Source organism: Homo sapiens, chromosome 4, assembly GCF_000001405.40.
Source record: "Homo sapiens chromosome 4, GRCh38.p14 Primary Assembly".
Lineage (NCBI taxonomy): Eukaryota > Metazoa > Chordata > Mammalia > Primates > Hominidae > Homo > Homo sapiens.
In genome coordinates, this window is record NC_000004.12 from 173,544,878 (window position 1) to 173,568,302 (window position 23,425).

The 23,425-nt window shown below is 39.0% G+C and overlaps 1 long non-coding RNA gene across 2 annotated transcripts in view; it reads left to right on the forward strand.

Annotated features, from left to right (window-relative positions):
- Nucleotides 1–23,425, forward strand: part of HAND2-AS1 (HAND2 antisense RNA 1) — a 62,656-nt gene that overhangs the window by 16,278 nt on the left and 22,953 nt on the right. Inside the window, exon 3 of one of the 2 annotated variants that reach the window (NR_136196.1) lies at nt 14,220–14,324. The exons of the other annotated variant lie outside the window; for it this stretch is intronic. This is a non-coding gene — a long non-coding RNA (HAND2 antisense RNA 1). The remainder of the gene's footprint in view (nt 1–14,219; nt 14,325–23,425) is intronic. 2 annotated transcript variants of the gene reach the window in all.

Sequence of the window (23,425 nt, forward strand, 5' to 3'; positions counted from 1 at the left end):
TCATCCTGATTCTTTTCTATCATGTTAACACAATTTTTAAATGATATTCATATTCATCTGAATGGAGTAGAGACAGACAGTTATATAGTAGTTGCAAGTTTAGCTTTTAAAGAAACTGCCAAACTGTCTTCCAGAGGCTGTACTATTTTACATTCCCATTAGCAGTATAGGAGTGATCCTTTTTCTCCACATACTTGCCAACATTTCTTGTTGTTCTTATTAAAACCAAACAAGTGGTGCTGGGAATGCATTAAGAGAAAACATATATATTATTAATAGAATAAATAATAATCAATAGATAATGTGCAGGAAGGGGATTTGCATTTACGAAACATCTATTGTATCCTATGTTCTTTACACATATTATCCCTTTAATATAGTTCTATACTTGCAGGGACAGGTTTTGCATGTAAAGAAATTGAGGTTCAGAGATGTTAAATAATTTGTCTAAAGTACACAGCATTTAAATTGTAGAGTTTAAACCAAAGGGATCTGGTATTAAAAAATTCCAGGTAATGTTAAAATAAAACAATGCATTAAATTTGAAAGTCTTTCTGTTACTTTTTGTTCCAAATTGGATCTCTGTCTTTGGCTAAAAATCAACCATGACAACAAGAAATGTTGGCAAGTATGTGGAGAAACAGGATCACTCCTATACTGCTAATGGGAATGTAAAATAGTACAGCCTCTGGAAGACAGTTTGGCAGTTTCTTTAAAAGCTAAACTTGCAACTACTATATAACTCAGTTATTGTACTCGTCAGCATTTATCTCAGATAAATGAAGACTTAAGTTCACACAGAAATATGTGCATGAATGCTTACAGCAGCTTTAATAACAGTGAAAAACTGGAAACATCTCAAATATCCTTCAATGGAAAGACAAACTTAACCATTCTGTTAACAGTTAAGCATGTATGGTTAATCGTGGCACATGGAATACTACTTGGCAATAAAAAGGAACACATTGTTGATAAGTGCAACAGCCTGAATGGATCTCCAGGGAATTATGCTGGGTGAAAAAATCCAAACCCAAAAGGTAACACACTGTATGGCTCCATTTATATAGAATTCTTGAAATGACAAAATTATAGAAATGGAGAAAAGAAAAGTGCTTATCAGGGGTTAAGGAGCAGTGGGGTGGAAGAGAGGTGAGTGTGGCCATAAAAAGGCAACAAAATGGATGCTTATGATAATGGAAATTTTCTGTATCAATGTCAGTATCCTTGTTGTGATATTGTACTGTGTTTTTGTAAGATGTTACTATTGGGAGAGACTGGGTAAAGCGTGCATGGGATCTCTATTATTTCTTACAACTGCATGAGGATCTACAATTTTCTCAAAATAAAAAGCTTAATAAAAATGCCTACTGATCTTCAGGAAGTTCAGTTCCCTGTTTTCCATAACTGATCTGAAAATAGGGGAAGGACAATTGAGAATTTAGGAGTTGTAAACTCTGAGGCTGATTTTCAGCGAACTACTCAAATTATTCTGATTTTTCCCCTTGATTCTTATTATGGATTGTAGGACATTCTTCCTACTATTTTGGAGAAGAAAAAATGCCACCTCTCTATCATAGGACTTCTGTTTTACATATGATTTAAAAATCTATTAGCTGACTAATTTACACACTAGAAGATGAAACTTGGTTACATTAGATTCCATTGCCACAATTTATTTTAAAAATCAGAGTTCTCATCTTTCTTGTTTCTTCTTCCTGCCTTACTTTATTTTCTTTTTTCCTTATTCTATTTGAACCCATATTTTCCTATATTGTACTGTTTAGTCTAAAAACTAGTAAGCATGCATATTGTTGATTAAATTAGCAATTGACGCTCTTAAAATGAGAACTATAAAGACTCTTGAGCTTCCACACATTATGCTATGCTTGCCATATGCTTGGGTGTTCTTATTTTCGGAGAGAAGTAATGGAGATTATAAATGTTATTTTTAAAATTTACTGGTGATTTGTTGAGAAGATAAAGTAACAACACTATTACAGAGGGTTGCTCTTGATCTCCCAGGCCACCAGTGCAGTCACCGAGCCCTCTGCAAACACCTGATAATGCTGAAGAGTGTGTTAGTCATTGTAGAGGAGCTGCTGTCATGACAAATAGGGGTTAAATTGTGAGAATTTCAGGATATATTTTGGGGAAGGATTAAATAAATCAGGGGACTTGCTGACAGCAAATAGTATCTTTGATTTGAAACACAGAATCAGAGAATTGAGATGAATCCCAGGTGGTGGTTGGGAGTTTGAAAAAGTCCCAGTGAGTTGGCTGACTAAGTGTAGACTTCATTTCAACATCATTAAATAGTCTTTAAGTGGTGACTTAATAATTGTTGCCCCAAGAAAAGATTTTGCTAAATACAGAGGTGGAATTAAGTATATTAATCCAAGAAACATTTTATTTAAATGATTTTCCTAACAGTAAGGTTGGAAGGCCCTAGAACTGCTTCTAGGAGCTTGAAGTGCATTTAATAGTTAACTGTCAGAATGAAAAATGAAATTTTAAATTTCAACAATGCAATTAAGTTCTTATTTTCTTATGATAGTGAATAATAAATTTCATTCAAGGACGCCATTGGCAGATGTTGAAAAGAACCATTTTCACTCCACTAGCTTGCAGTGGACTAAGAGGTAGCAGGAAGGGAGATTGGTACTACAGATCCTGAAAAAACAAAACAACACAAAACAAAATCCACACCACAAATGGACACTTCCAGATGCTTACCAACAGGAAGTGCCTTGGAGGACAAGGGCTGTGAGACAGGTGAACTCTAGGGAACAAGAATTCCTAGTTCCATGTCTGTTTACAAGAATTTGTCATGACTGGTTCACCTCACTTTATAGTTTCCTCAGACCAAAGAGACAAAGAAAAAGCAAAAAACAAAAACAACAAAAATTCTGAAACGAATGGACAATACAACCAAAACTTTAATATGAACCAAAACAAAAATTGGGCTGATTTTATGAGGTTGACTTAAAGTCAGGAAAAGAATGATAAACTTTTGAGAGGAAGAAAGAAATCATCAAAGCCACGAGGAGCTCAAAGTGGTGTTTAATAGCAGCTATCACATTGCGCCCGAGCCTTGACCACTTCTGACGCAGCTGTTTCGTTTTAAGATGTTCCCATTCCTGTTCCACTCACACAGTCCTCCACAGTGACCTGAGTGCACGCACCCAAGCCGGCAGGCCACTCTAGAAAACCGTAAACCCCTCAGAGAGTCACTGCAGGAATAGGGGAAATGGAAGTGATGAAATTCAATATAGCATTTAGCTGAATCATCATCTGAGGTTAAGCCCAGTGAACAATTAGCAGTATCGGGAGTCTCCTCGTACCTGTCAAAATCGCACCGACGGGATTTTGTGCAAAGTATGTATGTGTGTGGAAGTTGTTTTTTATGTTTAATAGCAATGGACCTGGGGTAGTAATTTAGATACAACTTTTTAAAAAAAATACTAAAGGGCAAGTGTGGTGAGAAGCTTCTTACTCAGGAGGATCTTTTCAAACATTGCAAAACATCAGGCCTTGAAATAATTCATTTTATTAAGTAGCGCACTCTTGTCTTTTCATTCACAAAAGGAGGATGATTTATTATACAGATAAATGCTTGCATAGGATGATGAACACCTGTAGGAATGCATGATATTCTGGAAGTTGATCAAGGTCCACTGTACACCAGTAATTAGAGGTCATGATGATGATAATAATAATAATAATAATTAATAATGGCACATACTATGTGTCAGCTCCTGTTCTAACTTCGTTTCTCATATTAACTTATTTATTTTTCATGATTAGCCACTAAGATACAATTATTATCCCTGTTTTGTAGACAAGGAACTGAGTGAAGCTCAAAGAAGTAACTAGGATCACACTGTCACACAGGCAGGAATGAAACCCATGCAGATTGGCTCCTTAGTGTGCTCTCTGATCTATTATCATTCATCACATATTTACTGAGCATCTAGTATATGAAAGGTATTAGGCTTTATGCAGGCAATACTTTAGCGAAGCCAGGGAGATGTCTCTGCCTTCTTTGAGCTTATAGCTTGGTGGGCAAAAAGCTAATGGTTTAACTGTATAAAAAACTTGATGTTGTGAAATGATATATGCCAATGTTTGCATGGTATGATGATTTTGATTAAGCACCATAATAAAAATAGGGAGCCTGGGTCTCACACAGCCTTGATTGTCTTCTTCCTTCTGCTCCCCAGTGGAGTGCGTAGGAAGGTCACACCCTCAATGTCAGGCTCCTTCACTGTTCTCAGTGAGTGTCTCAGGTTGTAGGCTACATGAGCAGGTTTGCACCTGGATATGATTGTGGCAGTAACAATAGATGTGACTATACACAGTGGCAGTGGCAGTAGGGGTGGGAGTTGGGTGATGGGATGATCTTAGAATGCAGTGTTGGTATTAACTCAGTTTTGTTTTGTTTTGATGTACAGCCAGCCATACGACTCTGGAATATGACTCTGGGTTTACCAACTTGGGGATGGCCCGGGGATTTAGGAGATGGCCCCAATGGCTCTCCTCTTTTTTAGAAAGGACTGTTCAAGTTCCTTTTTTTTTTCTTTTTAAACAGGATCTCGTTTTGTCACCCAGATCGGGGGCAGTGGTGTAATCTCAGCTCACTTGAACCTTTGCCTCCCTGGCTCAAGTGATCCTCCTGCCTCAGGTGTGAGCCACCATGCCAGGCTAATTTTTGTATTTTTTGCAGAGACGGGGTTTCACCATGTTGCCCAGGCTGGTCTTAAGCTCCTGAGCTCAAGTGATCCATGTTTCTGCCTCCCAAAGTGCTGAGATTACGGTTTGAGCCACCACATCTGGTTTAAGCTATTTCTTCTAAAGATATAGTCACATCTATTATCTTTGACCCCTGCCTAAGCAATTCTGTTCAGATCTTAAGACTATTTCTTCCCGGGATTCAAACTCAGAGTTAAGTAGAGTCAACTATATGAGGTATATGTGAGGTTAATTTTTGAAACTTTTATTTTTAATTTCATCTGGGATCTCCTCTAGGGAAGACCACTTTATGATTATGGGTTGCATTCCCAAGTTCAGTTGATTGAATTTATTCATACATTATTTAATAAATGTTTATTGAGACTGAAAATAAACTTGAAATCCTAGAATTCATTGGTTGTCTTAAAAATTCTAAATATGAAATGCTAACTTTAGCTTCATGAGTATTTAGAATAGAAAATAAATAATTCAAAAATTGTTCAGGAAAAAAATCCATGATTTATTCTACTCTGGAGGAGCATATTCAATTTAAAACATACCGATTCGTATAAACTTATTGGTAATGAGGCGATATACTTTTTATGAGAACATATCAAACCATAGACATTGAGATCCAGCATCTCCTGAGTGAGTAAAATGTCAGGGTTTTATTGATACTAATGATAATGGGAGTGACATATGTGCATAGAGTAAGTCCATGGTTGAAAGCCTGGCTGATTAGGCGCTGCGTTCTGTGGTTTTTGCCACTTGTGTGTGATTAAACCCTGCAGAATAGAGTCTGTTGCCATGTATTTGGTTCGTGAAGAAAACTAGTAAAGTGATATTGAATGAATGATTCAGTTTCTCAAAAGGGTAGACTATTGGCCTAACACCTTCCTAACTTGGAGCTGTCAACGTGTTTAGTTTGGTTCTAATGGGAGCTAGGCTGGAGAAGAGAAAAGTTTTGTGAGAAAGGTTATGTGATATTAATAAGAACCACATTCCGTTTGATGTTTTCTCAAATGATTTTTTTTATCTTCCTAAGAAATTGAATGATTCAAAAATAATAAATCTTCCTTTTCTATGGCCCACAAATGATCAACATTTTGGATGATCAAAACAATTTTGTCTTTAAGATATCACAACTTCTAGTGCCTCTTTATTTGCCAGTGCTGATTTACAGCAGAAAGTATCACTTCATATTTTTTCCAAGCATCAAAGTCATGTGTTTTACAAATATTCACAAGTGCTTAAAATCCATGAACCTCTCTCTGTATTCCTATTTTTTTATTCTTCTATAAGTATGTATTTAAATTGGTTAAACAGATGGCTTTCTACTTTTGAAAAAAAAAAACCCACTAAGAATATTCACCTCAAGATGGAGAACTCATAGGTTAAATTTCATTCTGGAATGCACGTTTACAACCAGGTAATTAACCTTTGAAAATGAGGGTACTCGAAGGAAACAAGGAAAATCTTAACAAGATGATCTCACTAACGCTGGTGTGTTAGACTTCTCAGAAGTAGAGATGCCCCAGAAGTTTAACAATGAAAAACTTTAAAATATTTTTAAAAACATAGTTAATCTTTGTAGCTTTCCAGTTTTCGTCCTTTATTACGATAACCTTAGGAGGTAAACGCTTCAAGGGGTGTATCCTTATAATCATAGGAATTGGTACACAGATTTTGGTGGAAAGATGGAGGTGTCAACATTAACCAGTCAACATATATTTGTTGACTGCCTACCACATGCACAAGTCTCTTCCATGCTTGCGAAGAGATACAGTGATGTGCAATGTGTAGAATCTGCCCTTCATGAGCTTTTGATTTAGTTAGTCTGAGAAGGAATAGATCAGTGAAAAGTTAAAAGGAATAATAGATGGAGTGTTGAGGCAGTCCATGATTGTTATCTGAGACATTGAGTTTACAATGCTAAGTTAAAAGAATGAGAGATCACTATGGGATAGAATGGACAGGAAGAGTTCCTCTCCTTGAAGCTTGCATTAAGCCATAAAAGACAAAGCAATTTTGGAAATGCAGAATTTGGAGATATGAAGAAAGAATAATTCCCAGAAAGGGAGAAGAGTTTTGGAGCCAGACAGATCTGGGTTCAAATCTTGGTTCTCTTGTTCTCTAGCTGTGTAATCTTGGGAAGTTACTTAGCTTTTATGGACATCTTCTATAAAAAGGATATGATAGCGACTATTTTGTTAATTTTTTAGGATTAATTGAGATAATATATATAAAGTGTTTTAAGCACTTGATAAAAGGTAATCCTCTCAGTTGGAGAGAACATCCTAAACAAGTCTGGAGGAAGGAGACAGCCAGCCATGTTCATGGGACAAAAAGAAGACTATTATGAGTGGAGGGAAAGATTAAGAGAAGTAGAGTGAGATCACATGGAAAGATAAATTAGGATTAGCTTCAGCCATTCACTTGTTTCTTCATTTAATACTTTATTGCACTCTTTATGTGGGAAGCTCTCTCATGTGGGAAACCCTCTGCTCGGCATGGATATGCAGAGACAAAGAAAACTTAGCCTTGGATTTCTCTTGAATGTCAGGTTAAGGAGTTGGAACTTCATGCTGAGGAGAATTATATCTTTCAAAAGTGGAGGAGCTTGAAAGTAGCATTTTTGGATAGTTAACATGGAATGTGATTCTTGTGACCCAAGATATGCATTAAGTTACCATCTCCTAGTGGTTGATGGTTAATGTTGTGCCTGGAGATGTGACCCAGATTCTCTTGTAGGTCATTCCTGACAGAGGGTCCATTCCAATGAGTGAGGAGGAGGAGCTTCTGGGCTGAACTTAATCTCATCTCCTGAAATAAAGCAATGACATTGAAATTTTTCATATTGCACTTGTGTTTACATTTCTCATCTAATCTGAGATATTCCACGTTTGGTGAGTCTTGCTTTGGGCCTGCAGTCTTGGTGACCCTTATTAGTTGCACTGGAATAGCTGTCTATTCAGGGAGAAGTAGAATCCTGGGAATCTGGTCTTCAGTGACTTTCTCCATGATCATGAATTTCATGAGAGGAGGTCCCCTTCCTGTTAGTAGATCTCTATAGCAAGAGGTTCTGAGGCACACAAGCACACTGGATACTCACCTACAGTTCTAGTTTAACTGATGGAACATAGGTATTTCTTTCATGAAACTTTGCCTGGATAAACAGCTTCTGTATCTTCTAGTGACAAAATTTTGCCTCCTGTTTTCCCCTCTAGCTCTAGTCTTAATCTCTACTTCCTTGTTCAGTCCAAGGCTCAGGAGAACCCAGATCATATAAGATATGGAACCTATTGCTTCCTAGGATGTCCTTGTACACAGTGACTAACTGCTAATTTCAAGGATCAATTTCTTTCTGGAGTTAGAATCATATTATATTATGTTTCAGAACTGAAATAAAATTCTTTTAAGGTGATTATATTTTGGCTCTCAGCTTGGAAGATGCCACTGGGGCATGGCATACAAGACACATAACTTATAGGAGGACCTCCTTTAATGCCCAAGTGCCAGCTTCATGCTTGTTGTTATATATCATTTTATTCCTGGCTTTGATGCCCACACACAGACATATATCCACACAAAGTTCAATCTATATATTTTTTGTAGCTGTTTAGCTCAGGTGATTAGGGCATTGAGCTAATGAGAACAAGGTCACAGTTTCAGTCTTTGTGTGGGCCAGCAAGGTTTGCTTTGTTCAGAGGCCACAGACCTGGTCCAGCCAGCTGTCCAGCACATGTCTGCCCCAAGTCATGAGAGGACGGGGCAGGAGTGTGTGGATGGACAAGAGCAAATCCATCACCACCCTTAGAAAAAGTCAAGTCAAGCACGTGTCCTACTAATGGGGGTCAATAATGTCTCATTTAAATGGGGCTGACATTTTATTACCTCTTGCTGAGAGGGTCTTTTGAGCACCAAATTTAAACATTGTCGCTTTTTTGTGTGAATTTATTTCTAATAAATGGAAGGTTGTACAAGACCTTAGATGATTACAGGTTTCCAAATACAGATTAATGACTTCAATATTTAAGAAGTTGATGTGATATTAAAAAAGAAAGTTCAGTATGGCTATTCAGTTATCTTCCCTTATTAAAATCTGTTTTGGCTAATGAAATAAAAAGTTCATAAGTTCTTCCGAGAGTAAGTGAGAATCATTGCCTTCATTCAAGAATGAAAACATTATTATTAAACTCATTGATAATGAGACCATTAAAAGTTAGCATGAAGCAGGTACAATACAATTCTTTATTATTGAAGTCTTCAGATATTACCCAGCCTACACATCCCACCTTTCATTTTTAGGCAAACAAATTCCCCAAACTATATTTTTTTTAAATTTAGCATTAGGTCTTGTTAGGCTTCAAATGGGATCAAAACCAATCCTTTCCAAAGTGTTCTACCCCAGCTGTTTCCCTCACCTGGGTGGTAGTGAGTATAAAGGCATTTGATACAGAAGGGGGTGGTGGGGCAGAGAACAGAAAGGAAACTTGGTGAGAGAATGATGAAGAATGATATATTAGAGATTCTTTTAAAATTCATTCATTAAACAAATGTAGCATAATGGAAATGTCTATTAAATTTTTTGGCATAGGTAATGCACTTGCAAGGGTAAAAACAGAAATATGAGATGGTATTTTATGAAAAGTTTTGCTCACCCCGCATCCATCATGAACCCAATTCTACTGCCCTTGTATAGCCATTTTTATTAGTTTCTTGTGTACTCTTTCAGAATTTCTTTATGCCAATATATCTTAAACTCTTTCCTTTTTTTCATACAAAAATTAACACCCTATCAATTTTGTTCCTGGCAGGGTGAGGTGGCTCACACCTGTAATCCTAGCACTTTGGGAGGCCCATGCGGGAGAATTACTTGAGCCCAGGAGTTTGAGACCAGCCTGGGCAGCTTAGGGAAACCCTGTCTTTATAAAAAAATAAAAAATTAGCCAAGCATGGTTGGTGTGTGCCTGTAGTCTCAGATAACTCAGGAGGCTGAGGCAGGAGGATCACTTGCACCAGAAGGTTGAGGCTGCAGTGAGCCATGATTGCACCATTGCACTGCAGTCTGGGTGACAGAGAAAAACTCTGTCTCAAAAAAAAGGTCTTGAGCTTGCTTTTTCTACTTAACAATATGTTTTGTAAATCTTTCTGTATACGCAAAGTAGCCTCATTTTTCATAGTTGTATATCATTCTATTGATGTGCCACACTTTATTTATCTACCCCCCTATTGATGGACCTTCATATAGTTTCTAATATTTTCTATTACAGACAACAATGTATTGAATTACTTTGGAATGCATTAGGTAGAAAGCATTCTTCTTTCTTTAAACATTTGCGTAGCATTCCACTGAATGGCTATATCATAACTTATTTCTCTAGCCCCCTATTGATCGTCATTGAGTTTCCAATCTTTTATTTTTAAAGACAATGTCATAATGAATAACTTTATACATGTATTATCTTATATATGTGGAATTAAATTTACCATGTCTAGATAATTTTATTTGAATGCAATTAAGTATGATATCAAAAATTATAAAATCAAAACTGCAGTGAGAATTCATCTTACCCCATGTAAAATGACTCTTATCCAAAAGAGAGGTGATCATGAATGCTGATGAGAATGTGGAGAAAGGGGAACCTTCATACACTGTTGGTGGGAATGTAAATTAGTACAGCACTATGGAGAACAGTAGAGATTCCTCAAAAAACTAAAAATAGAACTACCATACAATCTATCAATCCCACTGCTGGGTATATATCCAAAAGAAAAGAAATCAGTATATTGAAGAGATATCTGCACTCTCATGTTTATTACAACACTATTCACAGTAGCCAAGACATGGAAGCAACCTAACTGTCCATCAACAGATGAGTGGGTAAGGAAAATATGGTACATATACACAGTAGAATATTATTCAGTCATAAAAAAGAATAAAATATTAGTTGGGCATGGTAGCATGCACCTGTAGTCCCAGCAACCAGGGAGGCCTAGGTGGGAGGATTGCTTCAGTCCAGGGAAGTCGAGGCTGCAGTGAGCCCTGATCACACCACTGCACTCCAGCCTGGGCAATATAGCGAGACCCTGTCTCCAAAAGAAAAAAAAAAAGAATACAGAATGAAATTCTGTCATTTGCAACAACATGGATAAAACTGGAGGACATTATGTTAGGTGAAATAAGCCAGGTACCGAACGACATATTTCACATGTTCCCACTCATATGTGGGAGCTAAAAATTAAAACAATTGAACTCATGGGGAGAGTAGCATGATCATTACCAGAGGCTGGGAAGGGTAGTGGGAGGAAGGAATAAAGTAGGGATGGTCAGTGGATACAAAAACACAGTTAGAAGGAATAAGATCTAGTGTTCTGTAGCACAACAGGGTGACTATAGTTAACAATAACTTATTGTATATTTTAAAATAACGAAAAGAGTGGAATTGGAATGTCCCTGGCACAAAGAAATGATAAATGCTTGAGGCAGTGAACACCCTAATTATCCTAATTTGATCGTTACACATTGTATGCCTTCATGAAAACATCACATGTGCCCCATAAATGTATACTGTTATCATGTACCCATCATAATTTTAAAAAATAGAAAAGAATTATCACAATTATTTTAAATGAAGAAGCACTAAGTAGGAAATAAGGTACAATTTAATTCAGAATAGCTTTCCTTAGTAGTGTTCAACCTACTGTACACATCAACAACACGCCCTTGCAGTTAACATTGTTGCTGGATGTTTACTGTTATGTGTGACCAGCTGACATGTCCCTCTAAAGAAAGAGGATTTAAATAAGTCATGTATGAAAGACTGGGTAAAGGTGAGACACTGTAAGACCTAGATTATTTTGGGGCTGTAGCAATCAGATTAGCTATTGAGTATTCATTCATAAATTCATTCACTTCACTGAGTCATCCACTTCTTGTCAGATTCTGTATTTATTCATCTCCTAGTAAGCTACTCATTGTGCTAAAATGCTGGTAAACAGAAGTACAAAGCACCAGTTATAACTCACAGTCTTGTAGAGGAATTAAGAAATGGACAGGAAACAGTAAGGGTGCATTGTAGGTATCTCAAGAATGATATAAAGTGTTATGGCAGATCTAAGGAGGAAGACATGACTTTCCATAGATAATGGATGGTGGCATCTGTTCTGGAGTACCAGAAAATTAGAGTAACAAAAACACAGCAGGATAGATTTTCTTACAATGCAGTGATTCATACAAAGGCTACCTTGACTGTTAGTTTGTGACTGGAAACTCTCAGTCAGGGCTGACGGAGGGAGTCCTGCCCCTGCCAGCTGTTCACCTTTCCCTGGTGCTGGGGTTGACACTTCACATGCTCACATAGTCTGGTTCTGTGCTGTCTACTAGGGTTGAGTGTGCTGCTGGGCAGAGAATTTTGGCATTTCTCCAGATGCACATGAGGGGCAGACCGCCTCAGCAGTTGCTAATGACCCAAAGAAGCCTTCTTTCATGACTTATTTTGTCCCCTCATTTTATTTTTTGATGTATTTTGGTGAGCTGAGCTACTACCTTCTCAGGCAGTCCCAACCTCAGAAAATTAACCATGTAGCTTTCTCATATCTGACATTGCAAATTGAGGCAAGGTCGCATGCTTTCTGACTACCTGACTGCCTGGGCATTTCTTTCATGCAACTTGTTTAAGCCGCCCATCCTGATCCCTGTTGCTAAGCCACCATGGCTGCATTTGGACGCAGTTCTTCCCAGCTTTGCCGCAGCATAACTGTGGAAAGGATCTTGATGAATTTGGACCTGGGGAGGGACGTGGGAGGAAAGAGAAATGGTCTAATGGAAGAAAGTGAACAAACAAAGACATGCTCACAGAAAACTGCCAAGTGTGAGGGGTGGGAAAACAGAGTTCAGCCTGGCTGAACGTAGGAATCTGGATGGGAATGGTAGATCTTAGGCTCCTGTTTTTCAGCTTGCCGCTCTAGTGATGATTCTTGTAGATATATTTTTCCAAGTAAAAGGAGCATTTCCAAGTGACTGTTGTTTAAAATAAAGTACATGTTGCATTTGTAATGTATGAATTATGAGTATTAAAACTGACAATGAAATGAGAGTAATATACTTAATTAAAATTAATTAGATCTGTTGGCACACCACTAGAAGGACAAATATGATATTTAATATATCACTCTACTCCAGACCTGTCCAATTAAACTTTTGGCCATGATAGAAACGTTCCATATCTGTTGTCCAAAAACAGTAACCCCTAGTCACATGTGGCTATTGAGAACTTGAAATGAGGCTAGTGCAACTGAAAACTGAATTTTAACTTTGTTTAATTTCAGTGAAATTTAATTTGAATTTAAATGGCCCCCTGTGAGCTAGTAGCTACCGTATTGGACAGGGAAGCTCTAAACAGGGTTCTAAACATGTGGAATTAACAGCACTTAAGAGCTGGAGTAGACCTTAACCTTTACCAGGTCTCAAACTTTGATTTACAAATGGGGAAATGGCAGCCAAGAAGGTGAAACACCTTGTCCAGAGGCACACTAGTAGGAATTAGCAGAACTGGAACCTGGTGTTTGGATGTCCTGGCTCCCGGCCTGGGGGACTCTTGATTCCAACACGCTCTCTCCCAGTTATGACAGAGGGCTGTGGCTGGACCCAGGTAAGGATGCTGGGTTGGTAGATTGAGAAAATAAGGCCACGCGTAGTCTTTCAAATCAACCAAGCAAGAGATATTTGCTGTACATGGTGGCAGACACTGAGATCAACAGAGAGGTTGTTGTGGTGTGGGGGAGGGCCTGTAAAATGGCATAAGGAGTCTACTGGGAAAAACAGGATAGTGATAGATTATATATCTCTATATTTATCTTTCTATATAATCTACCCTGTTTTCCCAAATGGATTTCCCAAATGTGTGTCACTTGTATATCTGGCTGTCACTGGTACAAGGTAGTCCAAATGGACAGGGTACGCAAACCCCAGACAGGGCTATGGAAATTTAGGGAGATCTGTGTGGGTGAGTGGTCGGGGAGAGCTTCAGGGATAGGACAGGCTTGACTTATATTAGATAGTGTAACACAGAAGGTAAAATACAACTTTAGGATCATTCAAATTTAACAGTGGTTGATATGAAACAAACTTCTTATCCAGAGTTGGTTTTGTATTCTTGCTTTCTGTATTAATTATATGTGTTTACTGATTCACCACAATCAGCTATACTGTCCCTAGAATTTTAAAATGTGAAAAGAATGTGGTTTGTTTCAGGACTATTTTTCTGTAGAATGGTGATTGTATAGAATTAATTAATATTACAGTTGCATTATTAGACCACAGTAAGGTAAATGGTCACAAAAGACCATACATTTAAATCAGGAGAAAAGTAATGGCTATTGTTATCCTGTAGGCATAGCTGGGAAATCATATCCTTACTTGGCTTGCTAAAGTCTTAACCTAGTACTACATGACAGTATCTCCAGAGATTTTTTTTTCCCATTCGTAGGCACAACAAATGAGACCCAAGTGCTCATAGAACATTCCAAAGAGTCAACAGAGAGAAGTGGAAAGTATTAGAAACATGATTGTGTTTGCAAAGGGAGACATAAACGTAAGTTAAAGGGGGAATGAAAAGTCATCTATTACCTACACTTGAAGTGCTTATTGCGGATAGTTCTTAAAACTTTTTGTTTTTCTGATTTTATAAACGTAATATGTGCTTATTGTATTCATCTGGGAAAATAAAGAAAAGATAGGCCGGGCGCGGTGGCTCGCCTGTAATCCCAGCACTTTGGGAGGCCAAGGCAGGCGGATCACGAGGTCAGGAGATTGAGACCATCCTGGCTAACATGGTGAAACTCCGTTTCTACTAAAAATACAGAAACAATTAGCCAGGCGTGGTGTCAGGTGCCTGCAGTCCCAGCTCCTCAGGAGGCTGGGGGAGGAGAATTGCTTGAACCTGGGAGGCAGATGTTGCAGTGAGCCGAGATCACGCTACTGCACTCCAGCCTGGACGACAGAGCGAGACTTCGTCTCAGAAAACAAAAACAACAAAAAAAAAACAGCTAAAAATCATTCTTAATCTCACTCAGATATAACTATTATTAATTTTTCCCTTCTTTGCAAATACCCACTTTTAAATGTTTAGATAGTTAATATTTTATAGAGTGTTGAAAGAAAAATTTACACTTAATCTCAATTGAGTTTTGTATGGAGAAGTTTTTGAGGGAAGAACTTTTGCTAGGGAAGCCTATGCAAGATGGGGAAGCCATGTGGTGTCTTCTGTCTCTGTAGGTCTTTAAGGATGATAGTAAATTATGTCTTGTAATCAGTTGTTAATGAATTCTTAAAGTTTTCTTTGTTGGCGTGCTTTGGTAAGGGAGTAAAATAATCTAGTTCGGTACCTTATTCAATGACTAGCTGTTGGTTTGAACCACCCATCAATCTTCTTCAAATGCTTCATGTACCCACCCTTGAGTCACCAGGGGCTGCCAATTCAGAAAACACGGGTGTCATCAGTTGGCAGGGACCAGAAATCTCCTATTGTCTCCTCCTTTTCTTAGAGAGATTCAATTTGGTCTAAGGGGCTTCTGGAGCAGACTTTGAGGGCCTTCTCTTTTCAATGGAACCAAGTCACATAATCATGTTGTCTGTATTATATGGACTTTTCTCATGCCATGTAAATGGCTAAAAATAACTTCACATATTGTTTTGTTCCATCCCCACAAGGACTCTCTGGTTTGGCAGTTTGGTAATTTTTTAGTGTTTATTTCTGCTGCACATAGGCTATTCAAAATATTGCTAAAAATGTTTGATCCGACTTGAGTAATCTAAAATGATAATCTTGAACTTTATAAATCAGTTTTTCATCCTCAGAGGAATTTTTTTTAGATGTTGTTTCCTGCACTATTATTACTTCCTTTGATCTCATATTACATTTGGTCTTTCAGATAAGGGAGACCAATAATTCCTTAGCTATAACTTCAGCAGCCCAGATAACTATCATACATTGTGTGACATGCAATTCATTATTCAGTTGCGAATAACCACTGCGGTCCAGTCCTATATTAAATGTTTTACAACTCGTGTCTTCCTAGCTCATGGAGTTAATATAATGCTTGTGACTATTTTTCTTTCCAGGCAGGATAAAACTCTTTATATTGCTTAATGACAAGTAATATTAAATTTAAAACATGTTAAGACACCTTAGTAGAAGAAACTAACTACAGTGAAGTAAATTTCCGTATGTAGCTTAATTATTTTATTTTATTCTCTCCTTTAAAGGGGCCTCCTCTCTTTGATGTATCCAGTAATTCTTATTATTGCCTTTTGGGTAAACTGGATGAATTTCCAGAAGCAAGATTCAGTTTCAGAGATCTCATGATCCGCATTTACTGATGTTCCATCATTCCTCCTTTATCCCTTTTATAATGTACCATTGTCTTATTTGCCTGGCATAAAGACTTCTTTGGAATGTAGTAGAAGACAAAAGATTGGTTCAAGATCTAATCACATACTTAAGGACAATCTTCCTACAGTTTTCAGTTCACCAAATAAAGGGTTAGCAGTCTGGAGATGGCTGGAAGAGCAGTTTCCTAATTTTGAGTCTTTGGCAAGCTGAAATTCCACCTGCTAAAATTTAACAGTGTAGAGATTGTTATCCAGTGGGTATTTTTGCAACTTTCTGTTTGGTGCTCAATAAAGCAGACTGTATTACTGTGCTGGAAAAATGTAACTTGCTACTCATTGGAGTATTAATCTATCAAAATATTTCCTGGACTTATTTTACAAATTAACAAAAGAGCTATTATACATTTACGGTCAGAAAGTTCTTAGTTCATATTGATATTTTTAATTCCTTAATTGAATGGTTTTACTTTCTAGCTTAATGTAGACATTATTTTCAGATTATTAGTGAACTAAGAAAAGGTTAATTTGTAAGTTGAATTGGATTTTTGTTACAAACTGAAAAGCCTTTTTTTTTGTAGCCCAAGAACATTTGTTTCCCTGGACTCTGTTTCTCCTACCAACACTTCCCTGGGACCTCATTGCCCTCAAAGGAGACTGCCCTGTTCCTTTACTTCTACTTCTGATCAGTCAAGCAGCTACTCTGTCCCATCAGCTCCCATTTTAGGACCAACTGATTCTCAAACATTTTAGTAAGGATGCAAATGTTTAATATGATTGCAAAAGAGAAAAAAATGACTACAGTGTAACATTTTCTGGTATAGACATCAGAATAAAAGTCTGGTCACTTACGACATACATTTAAACTCCAGTTTAAAAAGATTTTTCTTTTTTTTCTGAAAAATCAGTTGAGATGATAATACACAGTAGGTTATTTTCTAATGTCCATATCTAACATAAAAATCCAGATTAGGCCGGGCGTGGTGGCTCACGCCTGTAATCCCAGCACTTTGGGAGGCTGAGGCAGGCGGGTCATGAGGTCAGGAGTTCGAGACCAGCCCGGCCAACATGGTGAAACCCCGTCTCTACTAAAAATACAAAAAATTAGCTGGGCGTGGTGATGGGCACCTGTAATCCCAGCTACTTGGGAGGCTGAGGCAGGAGAATCATGTGAACCCTGGAGGGGGATGTTGCAGTGAGCCGATAATGCGCCACTGCATTCCAGCCTGGGTGACAGAGTGAGACTTTGTCTCGAAAAAAAAAAAAAAAAAGACCCAGATCAAATGATTTTTTTAAAAATTTGTTTTTTGCCCAATCATTTCTGGGAGGTGTATGTAGTTGTTGTTGTTTTCACTTTTTTTGTGGAAAATTTTTAGTAGTGGGGGTTCAAAGTTTGTTTAAATATGGAAGATAATTTTCCAAAAATAAAGTATGGACTAATTAACCTTAAAGACACAAAAGAAGAGTTGCTTTGAATTCTGCTATCGCTCCTTATTCTTGCTTAAATCCAATTTGTTGGTGTGCGTGTGTGTGTGTGTATGTTTGTGTAGGATTTGTGTGTATGGATGAATATGGAAAACAAGAGACTTTAATGGCAGAAATGACCACAGTGAATAAGATCAAATTATCAGGTAAGTTGAGGCTGTACAGAATTACATGATGGTTGATCTTGATACCAATTCAACAATAATTTAAAAAATGATGATAAATCTTTACTTGGTCTATGTAGCTTCAACTTAAGTGTGTAGGCCCTGGACACTACTGACGTAAGCAACCTAAACTCACCTAGGCAACGTTTTGTAAGAATAAAATCTATAGTTAATAATGACCTTTTCATTAGCCTCTTCTTTGTAACTGCCCATGTGGACTGTTTGCTTTGCTGAACTGTCAAAATGCTGACATGAAAAAAACAGGAGTTATAGAATCAAAGACCTCAGTTCAGAGTTTTATTTCTAGGGGACTTTGGAAAAGTCATGCAGCTTTTCTGAGACACAATCATTTCTTCTATAAAAGGAGTGAATAATATCACCTACCTCACAAGGCTGTTGTGAAGGAAAAAAATTCATTATGTGAAGTGCCCACTAATGCCTGGCACCTAGTAGGCATTAAGGGCATTTTTTTTGTTTGCAGAATATGAAAGATAGTGATTATTGGTTAAACATTTTTTTGTAGTGTGGCTTTTATTTTATTTTATTTATTTTGAGACAGAGTAGCTTATCTCTGTTGCCCAGGCTGGAGTGCAGTGGTGTGATCTCAGCTCACTGCAACCTCCACCTCCTGGGCTCAACCAATTCTCGAGTCTCAGCCTCCTGAGTAGCTGGGATTACAGGAGCCCACCACCACACCCTACTAATGTTTGTATTTTTAGTACAGACAGGGTTTTGCCATGTTGACCAGGCTGGTCTCGAACTCTTGGCCTCAAGTGATCCACCTGCCTTGGCTTCCCAAAGTGCTGGGATTACAGGCATGAGCCACCGCACCCAGCCGGCATCAATCTTACCATATTTTTGCATTAATCTCATTAATTGTCAATATGGCCCCACAACATGTATTTATGTGATTGTTTATTAGTGTCATCTGATCAAACTGAAATGAGGAAAAGAAGAATAGAGAGCACACTTAAAAAAAGGCTTACTGAAAGCCAGGTGTGGTGGCTCACACCTGTAATCCCAGAACTTTGGGAGGCTGAGGTGGGTGGATCATGAGGTCAGGAGTTTGAGACCAGCCTGACCAACATGGTGAAACCCTGTCTGTACTAAAAATACAAAAATTAGCCCGGTATGGCACCTGTAATCCCAGCTATTCAGGAGGCTGAGGCAGGAGAATCGCTTGAACCCAGGAGGCAGAGACTGCAGTGAGCTGAGATCGTGCCATTGCACAACAGCCTGGGCGACAGAGCAAGACAGCCTCAAAAAAAAAAAAAAAAAAAAGCCTTCCTGGAGAGGGGCCTGGCTATCCTGAGTGTTTTCTTTCTGGAGATCTAAATGCATTTCTGATTCCTTACTATGCAGGGGCTATTTTCTCAAATATTTTTATTGTGGACTCTCTGGGAGCCTCCTCACACCACCCACACACTCACACCCCCCAGCACATCATACAGTTCATTTCCTTTCTAACGTTACAGTAAATCTCAAAGGCCTGGACGGTGGAGAAGGCTGGAGGGGAGAAGCAGCTGCTTCTCTTTGCTCCCGTGGGCTGCCATTCCCCTCAGAGCTCAAGACGCTCACAGTAAGGTCTCCATGACCTGCTGTGACATCCCTTGTGCCCTCTTTGTGGTTGGAAAGGCTCTACCTTCTATTCGGAAATCACTTATATGATATGCCCAAAACTCCAAAGAGGAAAGGGCTATGTCAACGATAGACACAGTTCTCATTTGGAGGTTGTTCAACATCTCAAAAGGCACTCCCCTGCCATTTGGGGTGTCCTAATGAAGGCTGAGACCTCAAATGCTGCAGCCCCTTGAACTACATCACCCTATTTCTGTCCATGGTGGGCAGTACTTTAAGGGATGAAGCTCTGGGGCCTTTAGATCTTTTTGCCTCTTCCTTCTCTGCAAGTCACTCCATTTACATAATTATGAAGAGGCTGGTGCTTGAAATCTGGGAATCCTTGCCAAGTGGTGTGACCTTTAGTCTTATCTTTATTATTTATTTTATTTTTTCAGAGATAGGTCTTGCTACATCACCCAGGCTGGAAGTGGCACGATCATGGCTCACTGCAGCCTCCATGTCTTGGGCTCATGAGATTTTCCCACCTCAGCCTGCTGAGACTACAGGCACACACCATCATGCCTGGATAATTTGTTTCTACTTTTATTTTTTGTCAATACAGGAGTCTCGCTATGTAGCCCAGAGTGGTTTCAAACTCCTGGACACAAGCAATCCTCCTGCCTTGACCTCCCAAAGTGCTGGGATTACAGATACAAGCCACCACACCTGGCCATCTTTATTGTTTAAAGTAGGCATAATAATACCTACCTCACATAGCTCTGTGAGCCTTAGTGCAATAAGAGGCTGTGTGTATTGCACTTGGCACATTGTATGTGCTCACATTTTTATTGCTAATAATAACAAAATAACCAATAAAAACAAAAAATAATAAGATTGACCTCAGAAACATGTACCTTTTCCTAGTTGAGCAAAGACAAATGATGATGATGGAGACATGAGATGTCTTTCCCCTCCCTGGTTCTGCTGGCGTCTGCCATTGGCACATTGGTGGAAGAATTGGGTTGCCTGGTCCTATACCTGTTCCATGGCTTAAGCCACTGCTGGTTCTGACAATTGCAGGGAGCCCTGGCTGGGGGAAGGTGGCTGAGAGTGGCAGCAATTTCTTCGTTGGTTCTCAATGAGCCATAACTCTTTCAGATTCACTGCTCACACATGGCCTGCATGCAGATCTGGCAGTTTCCATTCATGATGCAGGCTGGGAAGGTAGAGTCTGGAAAACTCATAAAAGCAGACTGAGTGGTAAAGGAAAATCAATCTTCTTCTGCTTTGGACCAAGTTGACGAGAATCATTCTCCCTGATTCTCCATAAATTGGAGCAAGGCTTAGGACACTAATCCTACTGTAATACCATTTGAAGATGAACACTGACATTTGTGACATTTAAATAACAGTTCAGGTCTGCTATTAAACCAAGGCCTCCAACTGTTTAACCTTTGCCCTTGTGTACTATTACCCTTGGCCCAGTGCATGCAAATGTACTTATTAATGCATTTGAGCTTTCTGATGCCACATGTTTATTTAGTTTTGCTGAATACCTTGCTTCATGGGAACTGCACTGCACCAAACACGAAATTTGTTTTAAAACTTTTAAATGTGACACATTCCAAGCCTCTCTCAGAGATTATTTTTACACAGCTTAAGTTAAATAAAAAGTTGAGGCAATTATCCAAAATCTTCCCGTGGGTGGAGGAGTGTGTATTTCTTGAACTAAAATTATTTAGAGAAATCCAAAGCCATTCATTCATTCAACAAAAGTTTGTAAGGGCTTTTTATGTATCACATACTATGCTAGATCAGAAATACGGAAAACGTACTCCCTGCCCTTAAAATACTGTAGCTGTGTGATTCTATGGCCCTACTAACGTAGGCATGTACCTTAATTTATACATGTCTTACTTTAGTCTTTGCCTAATGGCACATACAAAATCTTTACTGGTTTCAAAAAAGCAGATGCTCGTTTTAGTTAAAGTTATATTAACTAATGAATTAGAGACTGGGGGAGATCTTTTCCACTCAGACATAATTAAAAATATTTTAGTGTTGCTATTAAAGTCAGGAATAACCTTTTTCATCTCTTGGATATTTTTCTAAACAGAAGAAAACACTTTATTATATTCATCATCATATACCATTTCACGAGCATTGATGAATCTGCTCCATGTCTGACAGATAATTAAGTTGTGTCATTTTACTATGAAGGTCACTTCAAGATCTGAGATTCTAGTTGGGCTTATATTAAGTTAAGTGCAGGTTGAGTTGGCACTGATAGATCTAAGTTTGATGACTGCTTCTGCCAGTTTCTAGACGTGTAAAATTCAGCGAGTTGCTTAACTTCTGTAAACCTCAGTTCCCTCATCCATAAGATGGGTTAATAGTAGGTACCTTGCTGAGTTGCTAGGAAGATGAGAGAAAATACTTCTGGGAAGATAGTTAACGTAGAGCCTGGTGCACAGTTATTGCTGTTCTGGTCCCCATGCTTTAGAGAGCTCCCTTCTCCACCCCTTCCCCCCAACCCCAGCCCTCCCGCAGCTCTGCCCCTTCTCACAGCACAAGCTTTTCTTTTATAGGTCAGTGGTTCTAAGTTTGCAGTGATCCTTCCACCACCTAGGAGACATTTGGCAATGTCAGGAGACTGTTTTGATTTATATATATATATATATATATATATATTTTTTTTTTTTTTTTTTTTTTCTGAGATGGAGTCACACTGTGTTGCCCAGGCTGGAATGCAGTGGCATGATCTTGGCTCACTGCAACCTCTGCCTCCTGGGTTCAAACGATTCTCCTGCATCAGCCTCCTGAGTAGCTGGGACTACAGGCATGCACCACCACACCTGGCTAATGTTTTTTTGTATTTTTAGTAGAGATGGGGTTTCACCATGTTGGCCAGGCTAGTCTCAAACTCCTGGCCTCAAGTGATCCGCCCACCTCAGCCTCCCAAAATCCTTGGATTACAGGCATGAGCCACCATGCCCAGCATTGATTTTTATAATTTTGGATGGTGCTATAGCATCTAGTATGTAGAGGCCAGCGATGCTGCTAAACATTCTACAATGCACAGGAAAAGCTCTTTCTTTCCTCTCAACAGGAAAGACTTATTCAGTGTAAAATGCAAATAGTCCAGAGATTGAAAAACCCTGCTCTAGACCATGCTTTGGGTCCCAGCAACTCTGAAATTCTCCCCCATTTAGTCCATTTCCAGGGTCTCTGCCTCTCATCACCTGGGCCCACCGGATGGCTATTTGAGAGGGCCGTGGACAAAGCTTGGAGGTGTTGGACAGGTGCCCACATACTTGTGGGAGGCCCCTTTCAAATGCCAGGGGTGGTGGTGAAGGGGAATGGCTCTTGGTCCAGCCCTCTCATGCCACCATGTTCCAACGTGGAGCTCCGAGGAGTCTGATAATTCTAAATTGGAACCTGGCCTTCCAGGTTGTTATGAAGGTATGCTTGTCAAGGTCAGAGGCTAAAACATTTTATTTAACATGTTAGTAAGCTAGATTTAAAATGTAATTTTTAATTTTAATTTAATTAATTAATTTTTTTTTTGAAACAGAGTCTCGCTCTGTCACCCAGGCTGGAGTGCGGTGGTGCGATCTTGCCTCACTGCAAGCTCCGCCTCCCAGGTTCAAGTGATTTTCCTGCCTCAGCCTTCTGAGTGGCTGGGACTACAGGCGGCCGCCACCATGCCTGGCTAATTTTTGTATTTTTAGTAGAGATGTGGTTTCACTATGTTGGCCAGGCTGGTCTTGAACTCCTGACCTCAGGTGATCTACCTGCCTCGGCCTCCCAAAATGCTGAGATTACAGGCGTGAGCCATGGCGCCCAGCCTAGAATTTTAAATATTTAAATATTGAGCATGTAGGCCTTTGTTTGCATTCTTGCTCTGGATCCCCCAAGAGCTAGGCATGGGCCTGCCAGTTAGAATTTTAAAACTCTGCATCCTTCCCTCTCCATGGCTGGGGTTACCTCATTTCCATCTCTCAGGCTCAGTCCTAAGAGCTCACCTTTACTCGAGGCAGATGATGCGCGGGTAGCTCTGTTGTCACATGTCCACATGCTGAGGCTCAGCACTGTT